Raw genomic sequence first — 25,061 nt, 5'->3', positions numbered from 1 at the left:
AGGGAGAAAGGAACTCCCTGTGTACAGCAGGTATAAAGAGGGCTGATAATTGGTCCACTGAATTTAGTTAGTGACATGTAAGTTACTGGTGACCTTGTCAAGATGACCTTAAGTGTAGTTTCGCTGAATGGGCTCATTCTGTGACCTGTACTCTCCTCTGGCTCCTCTTACCTCCTTTCTGATGTCATCCACTCCAGATTGGCATGGGGTCTACGGAAGACTGGGACCAAGGAGCACAGACAATTCTTTCAAAGAGTTTGTTATCAATGAGAAGAGAGGAATGGGATGGCAGTTTATGGGAAATCGGGTCTGAAGTGCTGAATTTTAACATGTAAGAAGTAAAATGTAAGTGTACTGAAGGAAAACATCTAGCAGAGAGATTTTTAGGATGCAGAAGAGAAAGGAAAACAAAAACAGCTGGGTAGCTGAGAATACCTGAAAACTGGTACCCAAGAGAAGCTGGCCCAAGATCGGAGAGCCACAGGCATGTCATAGTTTATGATAGAAAGAAAGAGGATAGAAGTGTAGTTATTTGGATGTGGTGGTGGAAGCTCTTCAGATTGCTTAAAACTTTCCAGTGACATAGGATAAAAAACAAAGTCATCATCTGGGAATGAGAATAGACAAAGAGAGGAGAGAAGACGTGGAATTGTCCTTTGAAGGCAGTTACTTTCTGGGCAGTTCCAGGAAGGCTAATGGAGCTTGGGTCTCTCTGCAGCAGTGCTCCATTCATTCAAGGCTTCCTTTAGATCAACAGGCACACTCACACAATTTCATTATTTTCCCTGGGAAGATGATGCACATTTGTTATAAAATGCATTTTTTAAAAACCTTGTAGGTCCTGCAAATTGGATTATTTTTCCCTAATCCATTTTCTAATTGGGTATTACTATATTATGAATAAATTCTGAATGCTGTATATTTGTTGTTTATTTAGCTGGTCACTTAGAAGACCTCTCAAAGCACCCATAATCATATTTTCAACTCCGTAGTATATAAGTAGAATAAAAGCTTGGGACATTATAATTGATTTAACATTGTATTTTGTCAAGAGGAAGACTATTTCATCAATTGACAGATGGATTAAAGTAAATATTGATGTCTTACAAGAGCATCATTTAACTTCTTGGAACCTGGGTTTCCTCACCTTGAAAGATAAAATCTAGTCTATCAATATTAACTGATGATGAGATAGTATCAATCGGAGCTCAATAACATAAGATTTTCATAAAAATGTTTGTAAATTTCCCAGTAATATGCAAGCAAATAATACTGGAAATTATTAATATTACTTAAGAGCGAGAACTGCAGATTAGCAAGGCTTGATAGAGTAAAAGACAACTGAATCGCATTTTGTGTATTGAACCAGATTTGGAGAGGAAAAGATGAAATAGGAGGCCATTCATAGGAGGAAGGAGAGGAGGCACAGATGGTGTATTCCAGTGGGAGTGCCTGAGACTGTGGACAGGGCCAGCAAGGCAGCCCCTCTAAAATGTCACTCAATGGCACATTCTAGCACCTTCCACCCGGCACTCCCATGCCATGTCATCTCCCTGGGCTCCAAACACCCGAGGTCATGTCAGAACAGTACAAAAAAGTCTTAATGTGAAGAAGCTTTCAAAATATATTACTTTAATTTGTTGGTGACCCTCTTACATTTTTACATGACATTCATGAAATGAAATGTTTTCAGTACTCTGGTTAATAATGAAACAAATGCCACTGGTCTCTCTAAGATGAAATGCTTTTTTTTTTTTATGTACTGCAGTTTTCAATCATCACTGAAAGGCTAGCATGTTCTCTGAAGGATTACCTAACCTGCAAATTCTTGAATCACAGTCCCAGCAGATGACTACTCTCAAAATTTTTCGATACATAATAATTGTACATACTAATGGGGTACATGTGACATTCTGATACATGCATATAATATATAATAATCAAATCAGGATAGTTAGGATATCTATTACCTCAAACATTTGTCATTTTTTGTTGGAAATATTCTAATTCTTCTCTTCTAACTATTTAGAAATATACAATAAATTACTGTTAACTACAGTAACGCTACTGTGTTACTGGGCACTAGAGCTTATTCCTTGTATCTAACTGTATGTTTGTACCCATTAACCAATGTCTCTTCATCCCTCTTCCCTCACACCCTTCCCAGCCTCTGCTTACTATCATTCCACACTCTACTCCATGAGATCAATGTTTTTAGCTCCCACATAAGAGTGAGAACATGTGGTATTCGTCTTTCTGTGCCCGGCTTATGTCATTGAACCTCCAGTTCCATCCACGTTGCTGCAAATGAGAGGATTTAATTATCTTTATGACTGAATAGCATTTCATTATACATATATGTATATATGTATGTGTGTGTGTATATATATATATATATATATATATCACATTTTCTTTATCCATTCATCAGCTGATAGACACTTAGGTGGGTTCCATATCATGGCTATTAGGAATAGTGCTACAATAAACATCAAGGTGCAGGTATCTCTTTGATATAAGGATTTCTTTTCCTTGGATAAATACCCAGTAGTGGGATTGTTAGATTGTATGGTAGTTCTAGTTTTAGTTTTTTGAGAAACCTCCATACTGTTGTGCATAATGAGTGTGCTAATTTACATCAACAGTACATAAAAGTTCCCACCAACAGTACATAAGAGTTTGCTCCACATCTTCAAGCACAGGCAACAATAATGAAATAGACTAATAGGACTATTTTAAACTAACAAGATTCTGTATAGCAAAGGAAATGATCAAGAATGAGAAACAACCTGAAGAATGAGAGAAATTATTTGCAAACTATTCATCTGACAAGGGACTAATATCCAGAATACAAAAAGAACTCAAACAACCCAACAGCAAAAAATGAAGTAAAATAATAATAATCCCATAAGAATTGGGTAAAGGATCTGAGTAGACATTTCTCAAAAGGATACATACAAGTGAACAACAGGTTTATGGAAAAAATGCTCAGTGTCACTGTTGGGTAAATGCAAATCAAAACCACAATGAGATGCCATCTAACCCCAGATCAATACTTTTTGAAAATTTAAATCTTATACCATTTCTGAGTCAGGAGGGAAAATACACATAGTGACAGACTTAGAGCTATAATAATTCACCGTAAATCATGACTTTCAGAACTTCATCTCAAACTAACTTCCTATAGTAATTGGACCATCTTAGAAATAAATTTAGAAATAAAATATAGTGCCTCAAACTATAAAACTACTAAAGAAAAACATGGGGGAAACACTCCAGGACATTGTGCAAAGGTTTCTTGAGTAATACCTCACAAGCACAGGCAATCAAAGCAAAAAAATGGACAAATAGGATTACATCAAGTTAAAAAGCTTCTGCACACACACACACACACACACACAAATCAGCATGGTGAAGAGACAACTCATTGGATGGCAGAAGATATATACAGACTGCTGTTCTGACAAGGAATTAATAACCAGAATAACAAACAACTCTATTGGAGAGAATCTAATAATCCAATTGAAAAATGGGCAAATGATTTGAATAATTTCTCAAAAGAAGATGTACAAATGGCTAATAGGCATATGAAAAGGTACTCAACATAGGCCAGGCGTGGTGGCTCACGCCTGTAATCCCAGCACTTTGGGAGGCCGAGGCAAGCGGATCATGAGGTCAAGAGATCGAGACCATCCTGACTAACACAGTGAAACCCCGTCTCTACTAAAAAATACAAAAAATTAGCCAGGCGTGGTGGCAGGCGCCTGTAGTCCCAGCTGCTCAGGAAGCTGAGGCGAGAGAATGGCGTGAACCCGGGAGGCGGAGCTTGCAGTGAGCCGAGATCGTGCCACTGCACTCCAGCCTGGGTGACAGAGGGAGACTCTGTCCCAAAAGAACAACAACAGCAACAACAAAAAACAGAAAAGGTACTCAACATCATTCATTATCGGAGAAATGCAAATCAAAACTGCAGTGAGATATCATCTCACCCCAGTTAAAATGGCTACTATCCTTAAGAGAGGAAATAACAGATGCTGGCAAGGATGTGGAGAAAGGGAAACCCTTGTAAAATGTTGGTGAAAACATAAATTAGTCCAACCACTATGGAGAACAGCATAAAGGGTCCTCAAAAACTAAAAATAGAGTTACCATATGATCCAGCAATCCTACTCCTCAGTATATACCCCAAAAAGAGAAAATTGGCATGCCAAAGAGATATCTGCATTCCCATGTTTATTGCAGCACTATCCACTATAGCCAAGATTTGGACGCAACCCAAGTGCCCATCAGCAGATGAATGGATAAAGAAAATGTGGTACATATACATAATGGAGTACTATTCAGCCACAAAAAAGAATTATATCTCTGTCATTTGCAACAATGTGGAAGGAACTCATTACTATTTTTAATTCAACTTTTATTTTAAGTTCAGGGGTACATGTGCAGGTTTGTTATATAGGTAAACTTGTGTCATGGGGGTTTGTTGTACAGATTATTTCATGACCCAGGTATTAAGCCTATTACCCATCAGTCATTTTTCCGGATCCTCCCCCTTCTCCCACTCTTCACCCTCCAATAGGCCCCCGTGTGTGTTGTTCCCCTCTATGTGTCCATGTGTTCTCATAATTCAGCTCCCATTTATAAGTGAGAACCTATGGTATTTGGTTTTCTGTTCATGTATTAGTCTTCTAAGGATAATGGTCTCCAGGTCCATCCATATCCCTGCAAAGGACATGATCTCATTCTTTTTTATTGCTACACAGTATTCCATGGTACATATGTACCATATTTTCTTTATCCAGTCTATCATTATTGGGCATTTAGGTTGATTCAGTGTCTTTGCTATTGCAGACAGTGATGCAATGAATACTCCAATACATGTGTCCTTATAATGGAACGATTTATATTCCTTTGGGTATATACCCAGTAATGAGATTGGTATTTCTGTCTTTAGGTCTCTGAGGAATCACCACACTGTCTTCCACAGTGGTTGAACTCATTTACACACCCACTAACAGTGTATAAGCACTCTTTTTTCTCTGTAAACTTGCCAGCATCTGTTATTTTTTGACTGTTTAATAGTAGCCATCCTGACTTATGTGAGATGGTATCTCATTGTGGTTTTGATTTGTATTTCTCTAATGATCAGTGATGTTGAGCTTTTTTTCATATGATTATTAGCTGCAAGCATATCTTCTTTTGAAAAGTATCTGTTCATGTCCTTTTCCCAATTTTTAATGGGGTGGTTTGTTTTTTCTAGTAAATTTGTTTAAGGAACTGGTCATTATTATGTTACATGAAATAAGCCAGGAACAGAAACACTAACTTTGCACATTCTCACCCATTTGTGGCAACTAAAAATTAAAACAATTGAACTCATGAAGCTAGAGAGTAAAAGGATGACCACCAGAGGCTGGGAAGGGTAACTGGGGGGATTTACGGGACACTGGGTATGGATAATGGGTACAAAAATTACTTAAAGAATAAATAAGACCTAGTATTTGCTAGCACAACAGGGTGACTATAGTAAAAAAAAAAAATTTTAATTGTACATTTTAAAATAACTATAAGAGTACAATTTGATTGTTTGTAACACAAAAGATAAATCCTTGGGGTGATAGATACCCCATTTACCCTGATGTGGTTATTATGCATTGCATGCCTATATCAAAATATACCACATAACCCATAAATATATATACCTATGTACCCACAAAAATTAAAAATTAAAATAAAATATAATGATTCCTCCATTTTATTATTGATGGAACAGATTTACTAAGCTGTGAGACTGTAGCTAAAATCAGATAACTCTTGAGACAGTTGTTGGATTTTCTTCTTACATTTGAGTAAATAACGTTATGATCCCAGCACCTGAATCATAAAGAATGAGCCAGTACAGTGTTTCTGCGACACCATGGTTTATTTATAATCTTATCACTCTTATTCAAACGTGCCCCTTTTTAAGAAGTTATACTTTTATTCCAGACCTCCTCATGCTGGATTTTAACCCCTAAACGCACCAATGCATGAACTATAATTCATGAATCAAGTATATAATAATCTACTTTAGATTCCAAGGATATCACCAATAATACATCGCAAATCTATGGTTCTTGCCAAGTTTTAATCATCCAAACACTGACAATAATATGAGCGAAAAAAGTTATGCCTTTATAAAATAAAAGATAAATATTTAATTCTATAAGAGCTTATTAATTCTAAATTCAGGCATTTTACCTGTATAAATGACACGCTGAACTATCAAATTAAACTTAAAAGCATGCACATTCATGCTGGATCACAGACTGTTACTAAATGTCCTGTATGCAGCTGTGGTCATATAGAAGGATTAGTGTTTTACTATGACTCCAATACATAATGTAAAATCTATCATCCCTTTGGATGATTCTAATGCATCATCAGTGCAAAATAAACACACTTTCGGTATCAGTTGTTTTTCAGGCCAGGAACTTTCCCTTTAAAAAAACATCAGTGTGTGTTGAGTTTAGTAATCCTGTACAAATAGAGGTGCCTTTGTGTGCTTTCAAAGATTAGCCTTACCATAAAACATTAGCTGACAAAACAATATTACCTTATCAAATATGTTTCCCCTTTCATTCAAATGGTTCAATAAACATTTATTAAACAGCAAAGATACAACATTCATTCAACAGATATTTGAGTTTCTGGTATGTTAAGTATATTCTGTAATTATAAAGAGTTTATATATACACACTTATGTATACACAAAAATGTGTAAGTACACATACGAGAAATTAATGTAAAAGGTGACACTATTTTTATATGGAATAACATTTCCTCATATGCTGCTTCAATTGCATATGCTAGTTAATGGCCACATTAGTTTACATGTTTGTTTTAGCAGAACCCAGATCCTTGTTAACCCTTTTGTTATCGGTCAACTAGGCCTAGAGTGTACCCAACAGTTCAGAGAGAGAACCCACAAAGACAACCCTGCTCACCTGGAAGCAGTAGGTTATAACTGCCCACAGAACCCCAGAAGGAGATATTAATAAATAAGCCCTGAGTCTGCGATATTGATAAAGTAAATGTACAAAGTTACAGAAATACCACACCACTGTCACTTTTATCAACCAATATTTTATATTCATTTAGTCAGTCAGTCAAGAAAATCTTTCCGGTTATTTTAAATCTTCCAGACACCATGTGGGTTAAAAGACTAAATACAGTGAAGTAAATGCCCCTAGGTTCACAGCTGTGTCCATTCACAAAAAGTAATTACTGCCACCAGGGTAAATGCATATATCTGATGTAATTAAATATTTTTCTTGCTTTATTTAAATCACTAGATGTTAAGAGTAGAGCAGTGATACGGCGACGATGACAGGTTCAATTCCCGTTCACATCAGTTAATTTCCCCCAGAGATGGTTTCAATTCTCTAGACTTAGTTCTGATTAGGCCTCAAACAATATTTTACACAAAGGTATTTTATCTAAAAACACAGAAATGCATGTAAACTGAAGACTGGATAAGAGCAAATCTTCAAAAGTTATCTAAAGAAAAACACCAGGGCCTTTAGGAATGGCCTGAGCTGTCTCTGGTGCACACTTAAGGTGCTAAACAGAAGTATGCAAGCTTAGAGATTTCCTCTCAGGTGCTGTCTTTTCTGGCACCTGCTATGTGACTGACAGCAGGTACTAGATGGTGAACTAGAGAAGAGCTCCTCTATTTCTAGTTTACCTTCCAACTCAAGGTTGACAATTCTGCAAGTAGAATATAAATGAATGCACCACTTCATCTATGTATTCCTTTAAAATTGACAGTTCCAGAATATGCAGACAATACTCTAAAGCACATAGTGAGGGCATATGAGAAACTAGGCTAGAATTAAGGATATTAAATAGCTTTTCTATTTTCATTTAAAAATTCAATATTTTCTGTCTCTTGATTTAGCCTGGCTCTTTTAATGGGGGTCTCTTTTAAAAAAAACATCAAGTCCTTTCTGCAAAAGGATCCTTCTGCCTTTATAATCCATTATCATTAGAGGAAACAGAGAAGAAACTGGAGATAAATATAACTATAAGAACAAGAGCGAGGTAATGTTACGTGTGGAACAAGCTTTACTAGATGCTGGAGAACGTATTCGCAGAGCTAAAATTTTATGGTTTTCAAGAAGTACTCTTAAGTTTCTTGGACACAAAGTAATATTCTAGGTGTCAAAGAAAAGCAAGACACAATATTTCTTTTTCTGCTCCTCCAAAGTTTGGCTACTCCTGTCTGATATTATTACTGAGTTGCAAAAAGCAAAGATGGTGAACTTCATAAATGTTCTCAATTAGATGCACAATATTTTTGCTTATATATTAGAAAACAAGACATTGACTTATAAATAAGAGAATAATGTGAGCAGTGGAACTTTTTGAAATGTGGAAATGAAGAGATTTCTGGAGATCATCCATTTGCTGTTGATCTTGTCCATCCTTGTGTAGACAAGACAGAACCATAAGAATCAGCTCTGAGAAGCGGCTTTTGGGAAATCTGGATCTCTTCAGGGGTCTCCATCGGCAGGTCACTGGGAACTAAACTTGGGAGAAGACTGGTGGCCTTACACTGAGACAGTTCCTGATGACACCCAAAGGGAAGGGGCCTAGAAGAAGCCAGTTCCCAGTGTTTAGGGCACACACATGTTCCAGGGCTACATTTTGACTTTCTTCCTGAGTCCCTGAGGAGTTTCGGGCTCTGTTGACCACTCTGGCATCGCCAACTCCCCACACTTCCCTCACAGGACGCTGTTTTCCTCCTGTCTCACTGGCTGCTCCATGTCCTCCCACAACAATGTCCAGGCGTGGGGGATCCACCAGGCCTGGCCTGTGGGCTGGGTCTTCTCCACCCATGTTAGCTTCCTGGGGGATCTCACCCAGTCACCCAGCCCCAAGCTCCAACATTCATACTTTTTTTTTTTTACCCCCATCCAGACGTCTCCTACTAAATATGGAACAAGCTTTAGCAGATTCACTGAATGTGGAAAATGTATTTTCAGTGCTAAAATGGGTTTTCAAGAAGTACTTTTAAAGTTCCTGGGCTTACAGTGATACCAGAAGTGTCAGAGCACAGGAAGACGCGGTATTTCTTTTCATGCTGTCACCGTCTGTCTACTCCTCTCTGATATTATTAATACCAACGGGTTGAAAAACTATGGTGAACTTCAAAAATGAGTTCTGATTAAGTACATTACTCACATATGAGAAGATTTTTTTAATTAGAAGAATGTATATATTAGAAGTATGACATCTCCACTTGGCTGTTCCAAAGTCCACTCAGACTTTAGATCTCCAAAACATCACTGAAGCTTTCTCCCTCGAACTCAGTCCCGCCACAGTCTCCTCATTTCGGAAAGGAGTGCAGGCTTCTGCCCTCCTCCAAAGCCTGGGAGCTGCTCTTGACTTTGCCTCACCCTTCAAATCTCACTCAACAAGTCACGCTTGTTCTCCTTTAAAAATACATCTTGCCGGGTGCAGTGGCTCATGCCTGTAATCCTAACACTTTGGGAGGCCGAGGCGGGTGGATCGCCAGAAGTCAGGGGTTCGAGAACAGCCTGGCCAACGTGGCGAAACTCCGTCTCTACTAAAAATACAAAAATTGGCCAGACGTGTTGGCGCGTGCCTGTAATCCCAGATACTTGGGAGGCTGAGTCAGGAGAATCTCTCAAACCCGGGGGACGGAGGTTGCAGTGAGCCGAGATGGTGCCATTGCACTCCAGCCTGGGCAACAAGAGTGAAACTCTATCTAAAAAAAAAAAAAAATCTCAAGTTTCTCCCTGTCCTCCAGCACAGGACCTCTCCCTGCTCCTGACTTCACATCCGCCCTCTCCATTCTCCAGACCACGGATACAGTGACCCCTCAGAGGAGATTCAGGCCTTGTTCACTTCAGGGCTGCCCACTTGGGATTTTCTCTTTACCTCTGATCTTCTTCGCACTTCCGGTCTTTGCACTTCCGGTTTTCTCTTCATATCCACTCTCCGCACTTCACCTATGTGCTGGAGAAGCAGCTGTCAGAACTGGCCAATGGGTTCCTTTCCATGTTGGCTTCCCATGGAGTTTCCCACCAGAGGCCCAGGCAGGAGGTGGGAGGACTCCCCCTGCTGGGTCACCCAGGCCAGCGACCCTCCTGCCAAAGCCACGCCTCCCGGGAGCGCTCTGGACGCTTGTGGCCCAGGTCCAGGGATACCCTTCCCCACTCAGGCTAGGCTGGTAACAGCTGCCCATTGTGGCTGGCCTGGGGGCTGCATCATCCGAGTTATTTTCTCTTAAACTGGCCTAGGCCTTGTTAACACTGGCTTCATTAACACTTTCCAACCACCCCACCAGAGAGGTGTTATCTATTTCCATTAGGATCCCAGTTGATATGTGAATTCTTGTACAATCCACCAGCCACTTCCCAGTGTGCTTACAGTAAAACCCAAGCTTCTTTCTTTCCACCACCTCCACAAGCTACAAAACCTGGCTCTGCCGCCCCTGTCTTGCACTTCTCCTCAGAGGCTCTCTCTGCCCGGCTCAGTGGCCTTTTATTCATTCCTTTAGCAGTCTCCTCGCTGGGTTTCTTTGATATCTTCTGTCTGGAAAATTGTCTCCAAAATCCCTTCCAAAAACTGCCACAACCACAACTCTTAAGGCTTGCTTCTTTTCAGCCTTCAGATTTCTGCACCATTTCATCTCCTTAAGAGCATTGTCCAGTACACTCCCTCTCCCACATCAGATCCTTTTGACTCCCTATTACAGCATCTTGTTAATCTCCTTCAGAGCACTCCCATTTTTTCCCTTCATTGCATTATTGCTTTATTTTCTTATATGTTTGTGAGCACCATAAAGCAGGGCCAAGTCTGTCCTTGTATGCAGTATCTTCATGAGAAAGCTCTGTACCTAGCTTCCTACATGTTCAATCTTGCTTTGTTCAACAAATGAGTTAATGAATAGATTGAGAATGTAAAGTTAAGTAAGTAAGAGCTCTGGCTTCTGGTTAGAATGCAATTACCTGTAAAGAGCATTGCTCCAAGCCTATCACAAAGAAAAAGCATGATAACTTACAAATTCATACCATTCCTTGAACTCTTCAGAGAGCTGAGGTCACAGAGCAATGAACTGGCCTAAAATCTTAAGAAAGACAGCTGCTTCCCAGGGGAGAATGGCATGAATACTGACTCATTTGTGGCTGAACAAACGGAAGACAGGGCCACCATGCAGGCAGGTAAGATGTCAGCTGCAACTTTAATGAACTGCTAAGACCCAGGGCTAGCCTGAAAGGAGAGAACCCTGGGAATTGAGATGTAAGAAGAGCACATTCCTGTTTACAGGCTTTTCTCCACAGGCCTCCACCAAGCATTCATAAGAAAGGTTGGGAGCTAGAAGAGAAAGAGGTTGAAGTCTCTCTTGATAGTTCAAGTCAGGGAGAAGAGAATGCCTACCACTGCAGAAAGGAAACAGAGGACTGACCTTTATCATGTTAAGGCCTTAAATTGCTAAGAAAAGGCATGATACCCTGTCATTCCCAGGGTACAGGTGAAGATCTACTACACCTGGGAGAAAGGTAAAGGTATTTTAAAAGAGCCCTCTGATATGATTTGGATATTTGTCCCCTCCAAATTTCATGTTGACATTTTATTCCCAATGTTGGAGGCAGGGCCTAGTGGGAGGTGTTTGGGTCATGGGGGTGGGTTCCTCAAAAATAACCTGGTGCAGTCCTTGAGATAATGAGTGAATTCTTGTCCTATTAGTTCCCACCACAGCTACTTGTTCAAAAGAGCCTGGCACCTCCCCCCACTCTCTCTTGCTTCTCTCTCACCATGTGATGTCTGCACATGCTGGCTTTCCTATTCCTTCCGCCATGTTGGAAGCAGCTGGAGGCCCCCACCAGAAGATGTGGGTGCCATGCTTCTTGTGCATCCAGCAGAATCGTAAGCCAAATAAACTTATGTTTTTTACAAAATACTCAGCCTCAGGTATTCCTTTAGAACAACATAAATGGACTTAGACACCCTTTATGCCTGGGGAAGGGACAGGAAAGCATCCTCTATCCAGATTATAAGAATGTGCCTTATGCTGGGGGAGGTGCAGGACCACTGAGAAACCCATCCCAGGGTTCCAGGAACACAGAGACTGCCTATTACTGAGGCAGGGCCAGTACAACAAAGAATCCCCCTCCTCTGAGACCCACTATTGGGCTTGCAAGTCTGAGTAACAAGTAGGAGCAGTGTATAAACCAACTCAGGAAGGGCAGGAGTAAACACAGAGACCCTCTCTGGGGGAAAGGGTACACAGGAGAAGCCTAAAGCTGAGAGTGGAGCAGGAACCAGTATAACACTTAAAAAACTCACCAACCAACAAATCAGAACACACCCTAAGGACAAGGTAAAGTTAGAGAATGTGGTGTACTGAAATTGCAAGACAAAACCCAAACCAAGCAGAATTCTTAGCAAGATTGATCAGTCCTCCAAAACTACCAGCCTAGCTAAAGGAGAGGTATGCTAATTTCTAGGCATAAATTTGATCTGTCTCGGTCTCTGCTGTCCTATTCATAAAGCCTAACATTCAAACAAAAATTATGAGACACATGAAAATGCAAGGGAAAATGAATTGATAAAAGATAAACCATATATATATCTACTTGCATATATATATGCATATTTCCCTTGCATCATATATTATATATGTATATCAGAAAGGGAATTTAAAATGTCTATGATTAATATATTAAAGACTACTGGAAAAGGTAGGCAAAATCTATAAACATATGGATAATTTCAGGAGCCATAAGAAACAGAAAAATTACAATGCTAGAGATAAAAATATGAAAATAGAGTTTAAGACGCCTTTGATAGATTCACAAGTGAATTCAAGAAAGTTTAGATACGAATCAGTGAAATCAAAATAGGCTAATCAAATTAATCTTATGTGAGCACAAGGAAAAGAAAGCCAGAGAAAAACAAATAGAACATTGCATTCCAGAGTTGTGCAACAATACCAAGCAGCCTAACCTATGTGATCAGAATCCCATAAGGAAAAGACATAATAGCTGAGAATTCTTCTACAGATAATGAAATATGTCAAGCCGTAAATACAACCAAGAAGCTCAGAGAAAACCAAGTTGGATAAGTGAAAATAAAATGAAATAAAATCCAAACACATCAATTTCAAGCCACTGAAATTCAAAACCAAAAAAGACAACAAAAACAAAAAGAGGCCTCCAGGGAAGGTGAAAATACATTACAGAGGGAGGAACAAAGAGAAGAATTACACCTGACTCCTTGTTAGACACTATGCAAGAACATAAACAATGGAGTAGCATCTTTAAAATATTGAAGAGAAAAAGCTGTCAAATCAGAATATACACAGAAGAAAATGTCTCTCAAATTGATGGAAAAAATGACACTTTTTTTCAGACAAGCAAAACATATAGAACTTATCACCAGCAGAGCTACAGTACAGAAACTTGGATCTACACAAACAAATGAAGATCTCCAGAAATAAAGTAAATGTAAAATATATAATCATAAACATATTTTTACCTTTTAAAATAACTCTAAAATATAATTTATTTTATCATAGAAAGATAGCCACATATTATAGATTTGTAGCATAGGTAAAAATAAGATATATAAAAATAGCACAAAAATGGGAGGGACAAATTGGGAGTCTATTGTTATAAGTGCCTTAAATGCATATGAAGGGACATAAAATTATTTAAGGGTGGACTATAATTAAGGGTATCCACCAAAAATTTTAAGAGGTATAAATAATAAGCCAAAATGGGAGATTTTTTTAAATCATTAAAAATAATCAAGAAACAGGCAGACAGGACTTTTAAATGCCAAACGAACATAAAGAACAAATAGAAAACAGCTACCAAAATTGTAGTCTTTAACCTTTCCAATAATTATGTCACTCTAAAATAGTTAGACACACCAATTAAAAGCCAGACAGATTGGATAAGAAAGTAATACCCAACATGATGTATGCTGTCTATAAGAAACTCAGTTTAAATATAAAGGCATTGATAGGGTAAAAGTTAAAAAATTTTAAAAAAGATAAACCCTAATTGAAAGAAAACTAGAGTGGCTATATTTTGTCAGACAAAGTATATTTTGGAATGAGGAATATTATTAATAATAAAAAAGGACATTACTTACTGATAAAAGAGCAAATTCATGAAGAAGGCATAAGAAACAAACATGCATGCACTTAGCAACACAGCTTCAAAATTCATAAAGCAAAAGCTATCGATCATCTTCAAATAAACTCAAATCGTAGTTGGAAAAATCAACACCTCTGTCTGAATAATTAATATATTAAGTAGACAGAAAATCAGTAATGAGGAGAAACCTGAAAAAACACCATCAACCAACTTACCCTAATTCCTTTACAGAACAATTCATCCAACAATGGTAGACTATACTTTCTTTCTTTAATTACCAATAGAAGGAATATTCATCAAAATAAAACATGTTCTGGGCCATTAAAATGTATATATTTGTAAACACACACACACACACACACACATATATACAGTAGTTTTTAAAACTATATATAAATAGCCTAATATACAATTATATAGTCAAATGTATATAATATATAATATATACATATATTAATTGTAATATATGTATATAGTTTCATATAATTATAATTAAAACTATAGTCTAATATTATAGTCTAATACATATATTAGATAATACATACTTTGTGCTTTCACTACAATCCATGAAAAAGCCATCTATGAAAAAAGGAATAAAAATAATTCTAAAAGAGCTAAACAAAATGTAAAAAGAAAGAAGCTGAGATGTATGCAGAAATAACAAGTGAGCCCTGAGAGACAAAAACACTAAAGAATCTGTATATTGAATTACAATCAACAACCACTATCCTGGTCACATTTGATGAAATTCTAGAGGCATGTCCATAAAAATTACCACAACACAGTAACACCACTAGCAGTTGTGCTATTTATTGTTCTCTAAGATCTAGGCAAACCAATAAGATGATAAAAAAAATCATGAGATAAAACTATTGGAAAGTCAATGAAGACTTATCTTTTCAGAATACTAATCAAAATAAGTGAACAAGTTTTCAAATAAATAAAGTTAACTTGGCCAATTATTTAAAATATGCACAAAATTAATAATATAATTGATGACAGAAAATTTGGGTAAAATTTCCTCATGTAAATTTTGAGAATAAGATGGGTCTGGAGAGAAACAGAATGAAAACCTATAGAAAGTACATATAGAAAACAACAAAGCCTTACCAAATCAGAAAAAAAGAATGAATAAATAAAAAAATAAATAAAAAGTTTCACTGTGTTCTTATATAGGAAGAGTTATTATTGTGAATTTGTTATTATTCCCAAATTAACTTTTAGCTGCTTTGCAATGACAATAAAACTTATAAATGAATTTAGAGAAAAATGTTTCTCATGTGACCCATGAAAAATAAACTAGAATGAACAGGCAAAAAAACCATAGAATAATAAGAAAGGATTTGAAATGTCAAACATCAGAATAGGATAAATGAAATAAAACTAAAGCCAAAGCTTAAAAAAAATGTGCAAGCTCTTTCTCCTAGAAATAGCACTTACAGAATTTTATTCTATGAAATGATCTGGGAGATATATATATGAAACATATATATACTCTCTCTCCCTCTATATATATAGGCAGGTTTAGAGAAAGACTGGAAGTTAGTCAGGTGATGCACAATAAAGGACTGTTACGTTATGACAAATAGGATAGAGCCATTCATGTCAGAAGAATATTATTAAGATTATCATCTATAATGAGTAGAATATTAACCATATAGTATAAATAAATTTTGTGATCACAGTTTTAAATGTATAAAAATGAATGTACTCATATAGTCACACATATTGTATAAAGCAGAAACTACTGCATCTTAACACTAAAAAATTAATAGTACTTAAGAATGGCTGGTTAGATAATTGGTCATTTTATTTTTTTAATGTTGGTCTTTTGCCTGGGTTATAAATTTTCTGCAAAAAAGCCTAGGTTACATTTATAATCAAGAAATAAATGAATGCTACTTATTAAAATTCCCAGAAAATGGAAATTGTCATAAAAGTAACCACTCACTTACGGCTACATTACTATAATAAAATAAAGAAGAAGGCAGATTTGACCACTCTTCTGCCTTGACCTTGTAAGGACAATATGGGTTAATCAAATACTGTGGAGTGATATAGCTTTGGCATGAATTTACAAGGCTGTTGAAAAATTACATCATAACTTTTCCCGGACATGAACTACTCAAACATTTTTTGAAGGTGTTATTTATTTAAACAGTCATTTTAGCATTTGGTTTCCAATGACTTGAAAACATGAGGAGTTTAAATGTCTGGCCTGAAGTCACAAAGTAATAGAATTTTTGCAATAGAGTGAATTCACGGCCTCTATGCCCTTGCCTTTTATGCTAACTTCTAGACCTGGCAGATAAATAGGAGGGTTTTAGCTAAGCAGCAAGATACAAATTCAGAGCAATAATTTCCCACCCACCCACCATTAGCCTCTTCCTTTTTCAGCTAACAAACTTTTGTGATTGGTGACATAGTATTAACCAAGTTTTATAATCGCAAAAAAATTAATAATTATACTCCATAAAACTGAAAAAACAATCACAGAATCATACCTTCAATGGCAATACAAATGAATATATTTGATCTATCATTTAGCTCTCAAACTGATAAGAAATGTGCCCAAATTATTTAAGAATGCTTTTTCTTCTCTCCTACTGGGCAGCTTTTCTTTAGGAATGTCCTGGCCTAGCCAAGTCCATCACTGTTCTTTCCTCAAAGAACACTTCACAAAGAGTCCTTCATTCATATATTTACACCTCATTTTCTGTAAGTCTCTCATGCCCTGTCTCCGATTTTAATTCCAATATCATCCCATCTCATCAAATTTGATCCTCCCCAAGTATGTTCTTCAAAAGGCTATTGATTTATTTGTTGGCATTTAGCCCTATTTCTGATTAAACTGAGATCATACAAACTTATAAGGAAGGGATTGATTTTTTAAAATTCTTCCCCTGAAGGACAACTATAACAGTCTCTATAATCAATACCACACACAGATCACGCATGGATATTTTTATAATATTTAAAGAAAACGGGAAGTTCATTTGACTGTTCTTCTTATGGAATTATGGTTTATAAACCAGCAGTTTTTCTTTTCATTGTATTTGCATAAAGTGGCGATATTTTTGTTAATCTACATTCATTCTTACCTGGACTTCTCTCAAGCAATTTGCACTATCATTTAACCAACTGAAATGTCAAGATGAAGTTCTAGAAAAACTATTTCCCAATATGCATTAGAAAACATCATTAAGGAAATATCCATGCAGCAATGATTTATTTTATCATATGCCCTATCCTCTAAGAGACTGTAGAGAGAGAGGAATATGACAGTCTTCTCAAGGAGTTTTAAATACAAATGAATATAAAAATAAGTGTTTCTTTGAAAATTCCACTTATTTTTGTTAGAAAGATCCTATAAATTATTTCCTTCTCCACAAAAGCCATTTATCAGGAAACACTGGCAAAGCACAGAATTTTTTCCAGAGGCAGAAATCTGAGGATTCAAAGCTGGATAAAAAAGTCATAAGAACTCTGAAGGCCAGTTAGCACAAGTTGCATGTATGCACAAAATGGCCCGCCGGTCCATGGTCACGTGGGGACCCTTCTCCACGGCGGTCAATGCTGACAGTAATCACCAAAGCTTCCTGGACACTAAGCACTTGTCAGGCCTCATGCACCCTGCAGAGAAAGGGCAATTGCCTGGAAGTGTAGGAGAAGAGGGAGCTTGGATAAAAACATAGTTGGCTGATGCCTCAAGGGCTATCAGCATCCAAGAGTTCTGCTTCTCTGTAAGTTATGAACCTGTTTGTTGTCATTGTTGTTTTAAGAGGCAAGATAGCTGAGCGGTTAAGAGCACAGGTTCGAAGCCACTATCTGGGTTAGCAGCCTGGATTTGCCATGAACTGGCTGGCATTTTGGCAATTCACTTAAGCTCTCTCTTATCTCCAAACAAGGGCAGGTGCTTGTCCACTTACAATGGGGTTACATCCCGATAAGCCCAGGGTAAATTGAAAATATCCTAATTCAAAAATGCGTGGCTGACCAGGCTGACGAGGATGCTGGCACTGCCCAGCATCATGAAGGAAGGATGGTTTCTACTAAATGCATACCACTTTAACACCATCATGAAGCTGAAAAATCCTAATTCAGGAACTGTCTGTGCCTCATGGGGTGGGTGTGAGGATTGAGCAAGTGAAAGTCCTCCATGAGAATGCTGTCGGGCACACAAAAGCATGGTGTGCTTGTTACTTGCTATTATTTTTTTTCATTCCTGAAATTACAGTTGGCCCTGATTCAATTTGAAATGATGTGGACTCTATTATTTACATTTTTACCTTGAAAATACAGTCAAGAGAAACTCATTAAATTCACCAGCCTCCTTAAATGATGGGCTCTAGCAGCCAGTCTGTGGCTTCCTAGGGGGACTGTGGTGTTTTCACTTCTCTTCCAAATGCTCATTGCGAGGTAGGATAGCACAGTGATTAGAGACAGAGGCTCTGGAGCTGGCCTGGCAGGGCTTAAAAGCAGGCTCTGCCATGCACTGGCAGTGTAGCCTTGGCAAAGCACTTAACACCTTGTGCCTCGGTTTCACCTGTAAAAAGGGGTGCTGATATCACCTTTCTCACTAGAGCTGCTGAAATGAATAAATAAGTTAATGTGTAAGGGATCTAGGGTGGGTTGGGCACATAGAAAATGCTCTATAGATATTAGTTGCTATGTACAAACAAGTCTGGGACTATATGAATAAAAATAAAAATAATATTCCACAGGCCACCACATGAGGTTATAACAAAAAGAAAACTTGGAGGCATATCTTGAGGATTTTACTAAGAAAAAAATATATAAGATATGGCTGAAGTTAATATTCAAAGCAGTCATAGATAAACATTTGTCTTATATTGCTAATAATTTATCATAGCAGCAGTAATAAAGAATTTCATCTTAAAATGTTTTAATCATTACTGGCACATAATAAAGATTCTTAGTGCTAAAAGGAGGAAAAGCTATTTTAAAGAGGTAGGACTCATATAGTTGGGGTCATCTGGAAGGTAGAAAATAGACTTTTTATTTTCCAAGATTTTCTCCAATGACATATCAATGAAGAATGTCTAGATGTCTAGGATCTTCTTTCCCCAAATTTCATTGACCTTTCAGTAAGCATAGGTTAAAAAACATGCAAATGTAACACCCCCTCTTCAATGAAACTCCCAAGATAGCCAGCCCCATTACATATATTCTAAGCTAAGAGAAAGGAGGATTTCTTCTGAAATAATTTGGAACTGCTATATATTTATAGATCTATCTATACACACACATATGTAAAATTTCATTGAGCTGTAAAACTGTCATCCTAACATTCACATACTTTGCAGCATATAAGTAACACCTCAGTAAAAATAAAAACATGGTAATTAAAAAGGATCTGTGTAGCTTCTTTCTGAAAAACCATAGGTGTCTGCATTCTCAGGGACTTCATCCCAAATACACCTTGTACCTGCTCTGCAGAGCCTCTACCAATAGCTTGCAACACCTGTGCACACGCCGTGAATCAAAGAAGCACAGAATTAGACGGAGGCTTGTGGAGGGCTTTAGGGACAGGAGAAAATGAAACTAACAGCCTGGAGAAAGTGGCTTACTTTGAACAACAAGGAAGGTGGATACTGACTCTGCTTTAATGTGAAGCTTACTGGACTTAGGACGCATCCATATGGGACATGAGAAAAAAGACTCAGGAGGGAGCACTCCCAGGTGTCTGACCCAGGTAACTACAGACCTCCAGCTGACATTATGTGAGATGAAGGAGACCATATGAAAGAAATTCCCTTTAGAAGGAAAGATAATGATATGGTTTGGCTGTGTCGCCACCCAAATCTCATCTTGAATTGTAGCTCCCATAATTCCCACGTGTTGTGGGAAGGACCCAGTGGGAGATAACTGAATCATGGGGGTGGTTCCCCCATACTGTTCTCATAGTAGTGAGTAAGTCTCATGAGATCTAATGGTTTTATAAGGGGAAACCCCTTTCACTTGGCGCTCATTCTCTCTTGCCTGCTGCCATGTAAGACATGCCTTTTGCCTTCCACCATGATGGTGAGGCCTCCATAGCCACATAGAACTGTGGGTCCATTAAAAATTACCCAGTCTCGGGTATGTCTTTATCAGCAATGTGAAAATGGACTAGTAAAGATCATAAATTTAATTTTGTGATATTAGTTAGACATTCCAAGGGATATCAAGATTTTAATCAATTTAATATTGTCAACACAATATCCCATCAACTTCTCACACCTAAAATCTCCTCTTACCACCACCTACTCTTATCATTTAGATTTGGTCATTTTGACTCCTTCACATCCAATGTTCAATCAGCTACTTTTTTGACTGCATATCGAGTATAACAGAGAGCCCTGCACCCCACCCCAGCTCTGGTCCATGCCCTAAGCTGAGGTGAACTGACCTTATTGGTTCCCCTTATCTACTGCTGCATAACAAGCTACCCCCAATCTAGGTGGCTTCAAACTGCAATGGTTATCTCACAATTTTGTGGGTTAGGAATTGGGCAGGACCAAGCTGGGAGAACCCATGTTCCATGTGACATTGCCGTAGGTCAGTAGATGGCACTCTGACCTATGGTTTGGCTGGTCTGGATGGTCCAGGACAGCTTCACTTACATGTTTGGCACCTTATAGAATGGGTGGAAAGAGGTACTCAGCTGGGACTCTGAGTCACAGCTTCTGCACAGGGCCCTTCAGTGTGGCACTCTCAGTGTAGTCAGACAACTTACACAGCAGCGCAGAGCTCCGAGAGAGAGAGTGCTGGAGGACAACAGGAAAGGTGTGTGCCTGATCTGACCCAGCTTCAGCCCTCAAACAGCTTACAATGAAGAGGAAAGGGTAGACAACACACACACAAAATATACAGGATATATTTGGGAAGTAACTAGTACCAACAGAAAAATAAAATGAGAGTACGGTTTGTAGCATGAACTTCCTAAAAAACTATTGATTTATGCCATTTCTCTATTCAAAATCTCCAGTGGCTTCCCTGGACACCAAATAAAATACAAACTTACTTGGGTGTTACATAAGATGCACCAAAACACAGCAGCCAAAATGGAGAACATAGGACCTGTCCCCTAAGTCATCCCCCATTGCTTTCTTTGTAGCTTGGCTGTTGCTGTTACTTCCTCCAGCATTTGTCCTTTCTTCCTGTGATCCTATCCCACCTTTGAAACCACTGTCTCCAAGAAACATTTTTAATCTTTCAATCAAATTCATTCTCTTTCTCGTTTCAACCACCATGAATTTTTCTGGAGGGGAAGAGTAAATAATTTTATACTTTCTCTACTATGTTATTATAGAGACATTTACATGCTTAGCACATTCCTTTTCAGGACGATCTCATTCTTTTTTTTTTTTTTTTTTTTATCTATCACCTTGTGCTCTCAGCATAAGCCCATCCATGTGATGAATGAGAAACAACAGTACAGCTTCAAGTAGAAAAATCTGAGCTTTGGAATTGAACTGATCTGGTTCTACATCTGAGCCCCAACAGCAAAGAATTTGATTACACCACCTCTTTGGGTAACAGTTCCCTCAAGTGCAAAGGAAGGGACTTATAATAATTATTTCACAAGCGCAAAAAAGAAACACATCCCAGGCCTATGGTGAGCACCACTACACCATATGCACCATGGAACGATTGTTCTTTTTGTCCTCTTCATGACTGTGTAATGGACACTGAATAAATCTTCACAGAATTGAGGGGCAGTGTTAGCAGAGACACAATGATAGCATGAAGATTTTAAAAGACGTTAGCAGTCCTTTGATGTGGGGAAACCAAAAAAAATGGCATGTAATAGGCATAGGTACTGTATTTGGTTTCAAAAGCCAATTTTATAGGTATGTTTATTCAAACAATTTTTTTAAGAAAACACTATTGCTACTGACTCCAAGGAAAACATCAGCCAATTCAAAGGGAAAAGTTGGGTTTAAATCTCAAGTTCATGGACAGCCCAAACCTGTTCAGGTATCACAAAGCCCTCCATGCCACTCCCCTTTCTGACACATCTCTGGAATTCATTCCCTCTCCTTTCAGGCTTGCTGCATCAGCTAGGGAGGTCTCATCTGCTCAACCCCTTCATTCCCTGGACACTGCAATATCCTTTCAGAAGGAATCCACCCTGCCAAGGACAAGGGCCACAGACAGCAATCAATTTATTTAATGTCTATTTTCTAATCCAACCCACACACGTGATCAAATAGGAAAACCTGCCTAACACAGAATTGTTATTTACACCACGAATGAGCACCTGACACTGAAAAAGAACTAAAATAAAGCAAAGCATATACTAAAAATACACTGAATATAATGTCACCACCCTAACAATTCAAAAGGTAGTTCCAAATCTTTAGGTATTTTTGGTAATAACTGCCATCAGTTACTATTATTGTCTTAAAAGTTTTCTCTAATAAAATGTCAAATGATTTAATTTTTGCTAGCTATGTTTAACACTCTGTATTTTTTAATAATGAGAGGAAGTATTTCCTGTAAGAGATATGAAGTGTCAACTACATTGCTTATTAAGTTTAGTCAATGTCAAGAAGATAGCAGTATTGGGAATGCCATTTAATCAAGAAATTAAAACTTGGCGACTGACCTAGTTATTATCAATCAGTGGCGGAAAAACACAATTTGGGGACTGACATGTTTATTACTTTCATCTGCCAGTATTTTTTAAACATTTTCATTAATTAGTCTGAGAGATTGATGACTCTCTTCCAAGTGTTATTCAACTGCTACTTGAAAATAATAAGGTTAGACGCACTAAGAGACAGTGTTTGGGTTCGTCTGCTGTTGCTAATTAAAACACATTAGGCCTAATAGAATACTTAGGCCGCATTCTGTAGACAATTCCACTTGCTCTATTTAAAGGAGAAGGAGTGAACAGCAATGATCTGCTATCAAAATGTGCAGACACCATAAACCGACAGACAGGAAAAGCGTTCATCCTCACTTCTCACCAACAGATCAAATCATAGACAAGAAAGCAGCCTTGCCCTCCATGGCATTCCTTCTCAGGGAGATTCTGACAATGTTGCAAACTCTCAGGAATGATAGGACTTTCCCTTTAATGTGTTTTCATTATCATAGATGCTTAAATATGAGATCTAAACAGAAATCATTTTTGTCACTAGCAATCAAGTAATATTTCAAATGTGAGTTCAGAAATAAAACCAAAACATTTTTAAAGTTGCTTGGACAGTGTAACCAGCATTCATCACCCAAATTCACAAGGAAGATTAACTTGAAGATTTATCTAATAAATTTCTATTCCAAAACTGTAAGGAATTTCCTTCTTTAAATCCAAATGTAATTTTTCCATAAAGAGCCCCATACAAAAGAGTGGCTCAATGAAATTCTCAGCTCTTTTTAAAAACATGGTTGGATTGGCTGGGAAACTACGTCAGATTCTAAGATGTGCCAAAGGCACATATGTGGAAACAGAATTATAGCTTCAAGGCAGCTTATAAAATAAATAAAAGCTATGAGAAGGCAGAATATTATACTCAATTATTATACACTCTGAATGTACCTAAAATATTGGGATTTGATGCATATCACAATGGGCATCTATAACTACACATTCAGAATGTTCTCTAAAGACAAACTGAGCCATGTGCATTGAGGCGGAGCTTGCCAGTTGCCTCCAGTATTAATCCTTCCCTTCTAGTAAAGAAAAAGAAGCTCATTTCTTTGCTAACTCAGCCAAAGAACAACACTCCCTAGTCCCTTCCTGATAGATGTAATCATATGACTAAATTCAGCCAACGAGAGACAGACAGGTCTCTAAGGTTGTAAGGTTTCTTCCTGGAAGTCTCTTTGAAAAGAACAGAGAGAACCCTCATCCCAGGCATCATGCCTTGTGGTGGCCTTGGACCAGCTGCCCCTGAGAACATGATGGGAATGGGGGCAGTGGACAGCAAGGAGCCAGGCCTCTGCTGGGCCATGAAGGATCTCTACCAACTCAGGATTCCAAACTCTGGACTTGAGTGATGTGAGATAGGGACAAACTTCCCTCCTATATAAACAACTGTGGCTGAGATTGCTTTTCTTGTAAATGCAGAGGAACCTACTCTCGAATGATAGAAGCAAAGCTTAAAGAAAGAACTTATAATGTCCATCCCTATTCCAGGCCACTCCCATCACCACGTCCAACTACTTGCAAGGTTGTGTCTCCTCCCTGCCCTTCGTCTAAAGGAAGAAAGGCTCAGAATGTTACAATAGTTTCTACATAATCCCATAAGAAATACATACTCGTGGACACAATTCCATGTCCACAAAAAAAAAATTAAGACACTTAGTGTACAAAAAGAAAACACCAACCCCAAGTGAACCAACATTCAGGTTCTCCTTGACACCTTCATTTTGAAGATTGCTTGTAAGAAACACACCAACCACGGCTACTGAATTAATACCATGCTCCTAGGACATTAAGTATAAACTTCCAAAGATCATAACTCAAGAGTTTTAATTTTGATAATACTGAACATTTACATTTATATTTCAGGTGAAAAAAATTTTAAAAACAACTATAGTAAAAGAGCCTAGTGTATGTTGGCAGCATTTTATCACTGTATAAAAGATACCTGTTTATCCATGGTGGCATGGACCTATAGTCCCAGCTACTTGGGAGGCTGAGGTGGAAGGATCACTTGAGCCCAGGAAGTCAAGGTTACAGTGAGTTGTGATTGCCTCACTGCTCTTCAGCCTGGGCAACAGGGCAAGATCCTGTCTCAAATAAATAAATTAATTAAATGAAAAATGTTGTTTAATTTTTAAATGATCCCTGCTTATCAATTCTACTAAGTAGAATTTTAGAAGGCACACAGTCCAGCAGATATAATAGGATTAAATATTCACTTTGCAAAC

The 25,061-nt window shown here is 37.9% G+C and overlaps 1 protein-coding gene across 5 annotated transcripts in view, besides 2 other annotated features; it reads right to left on the bottom strand.

The window, feature by feature from the left end:
• The window catches only part of ADCY2 (adenylate cyclase 2), a 433,944-nt gene that overhangs the window by 344,908 nt on the left and 63,975 nt on the right, over nucleotides 1-25,061 (bottom strand). The gene's annotated exons all lie outside the window — the stretch shown is intronic.
• Nucleotides 3,304-3,804: an enhancer, noted in NCBI's record as "H3K4me1 hESC enhancer chr5:7481483-7481983 (GRCh37/hg19 assembly coordinates)". NCBI's record gives its function as "activates a minimal SCP1, AML or CMV promoter by ChIP-STARR-seq in primed H9 embryonic stem cells {active_cell/tissue: H9 hESC(primed)}" and the evidence as "EXISTENCE:reporter gene assay evidence [ECO:0000049][PMID:30033119]".
• Nucleotides 3,805-4,305: an enhancer, noted in NCBI's record as "H3K4me1 hESC enhancer chr5:7480982-7481482 (GRCh37/hg19 assembly coordinates)". NCBI's record gives its function as "activates a minimal SCP1, AML or CMV promoter by ChIP-STARR-seq in primed H9 embryonic stem cells {active_cell/tissue: H9 hESC(primed)}" and the evidence as "EXISTENCE:reporter gene assay evidence [ECO:0000049][PMID:30033119]".

This window comes from Homo sapiens, chromosome 5 (genome assembly GCF_000001405.40).
Source record: "Homo sapiens chromosome 5, GRCh38.p14 Primary Assembly".
Classification (NCBI taxonomy): domain Eukaryota; kingdom Metazoa; phylum Chordata; class Mammalia; order Primates; family Hominidae; genus Homo; species Homo sapiens.
This window is presented reverse-complemented; position numbering and strand designations above follow the sequence as displayed.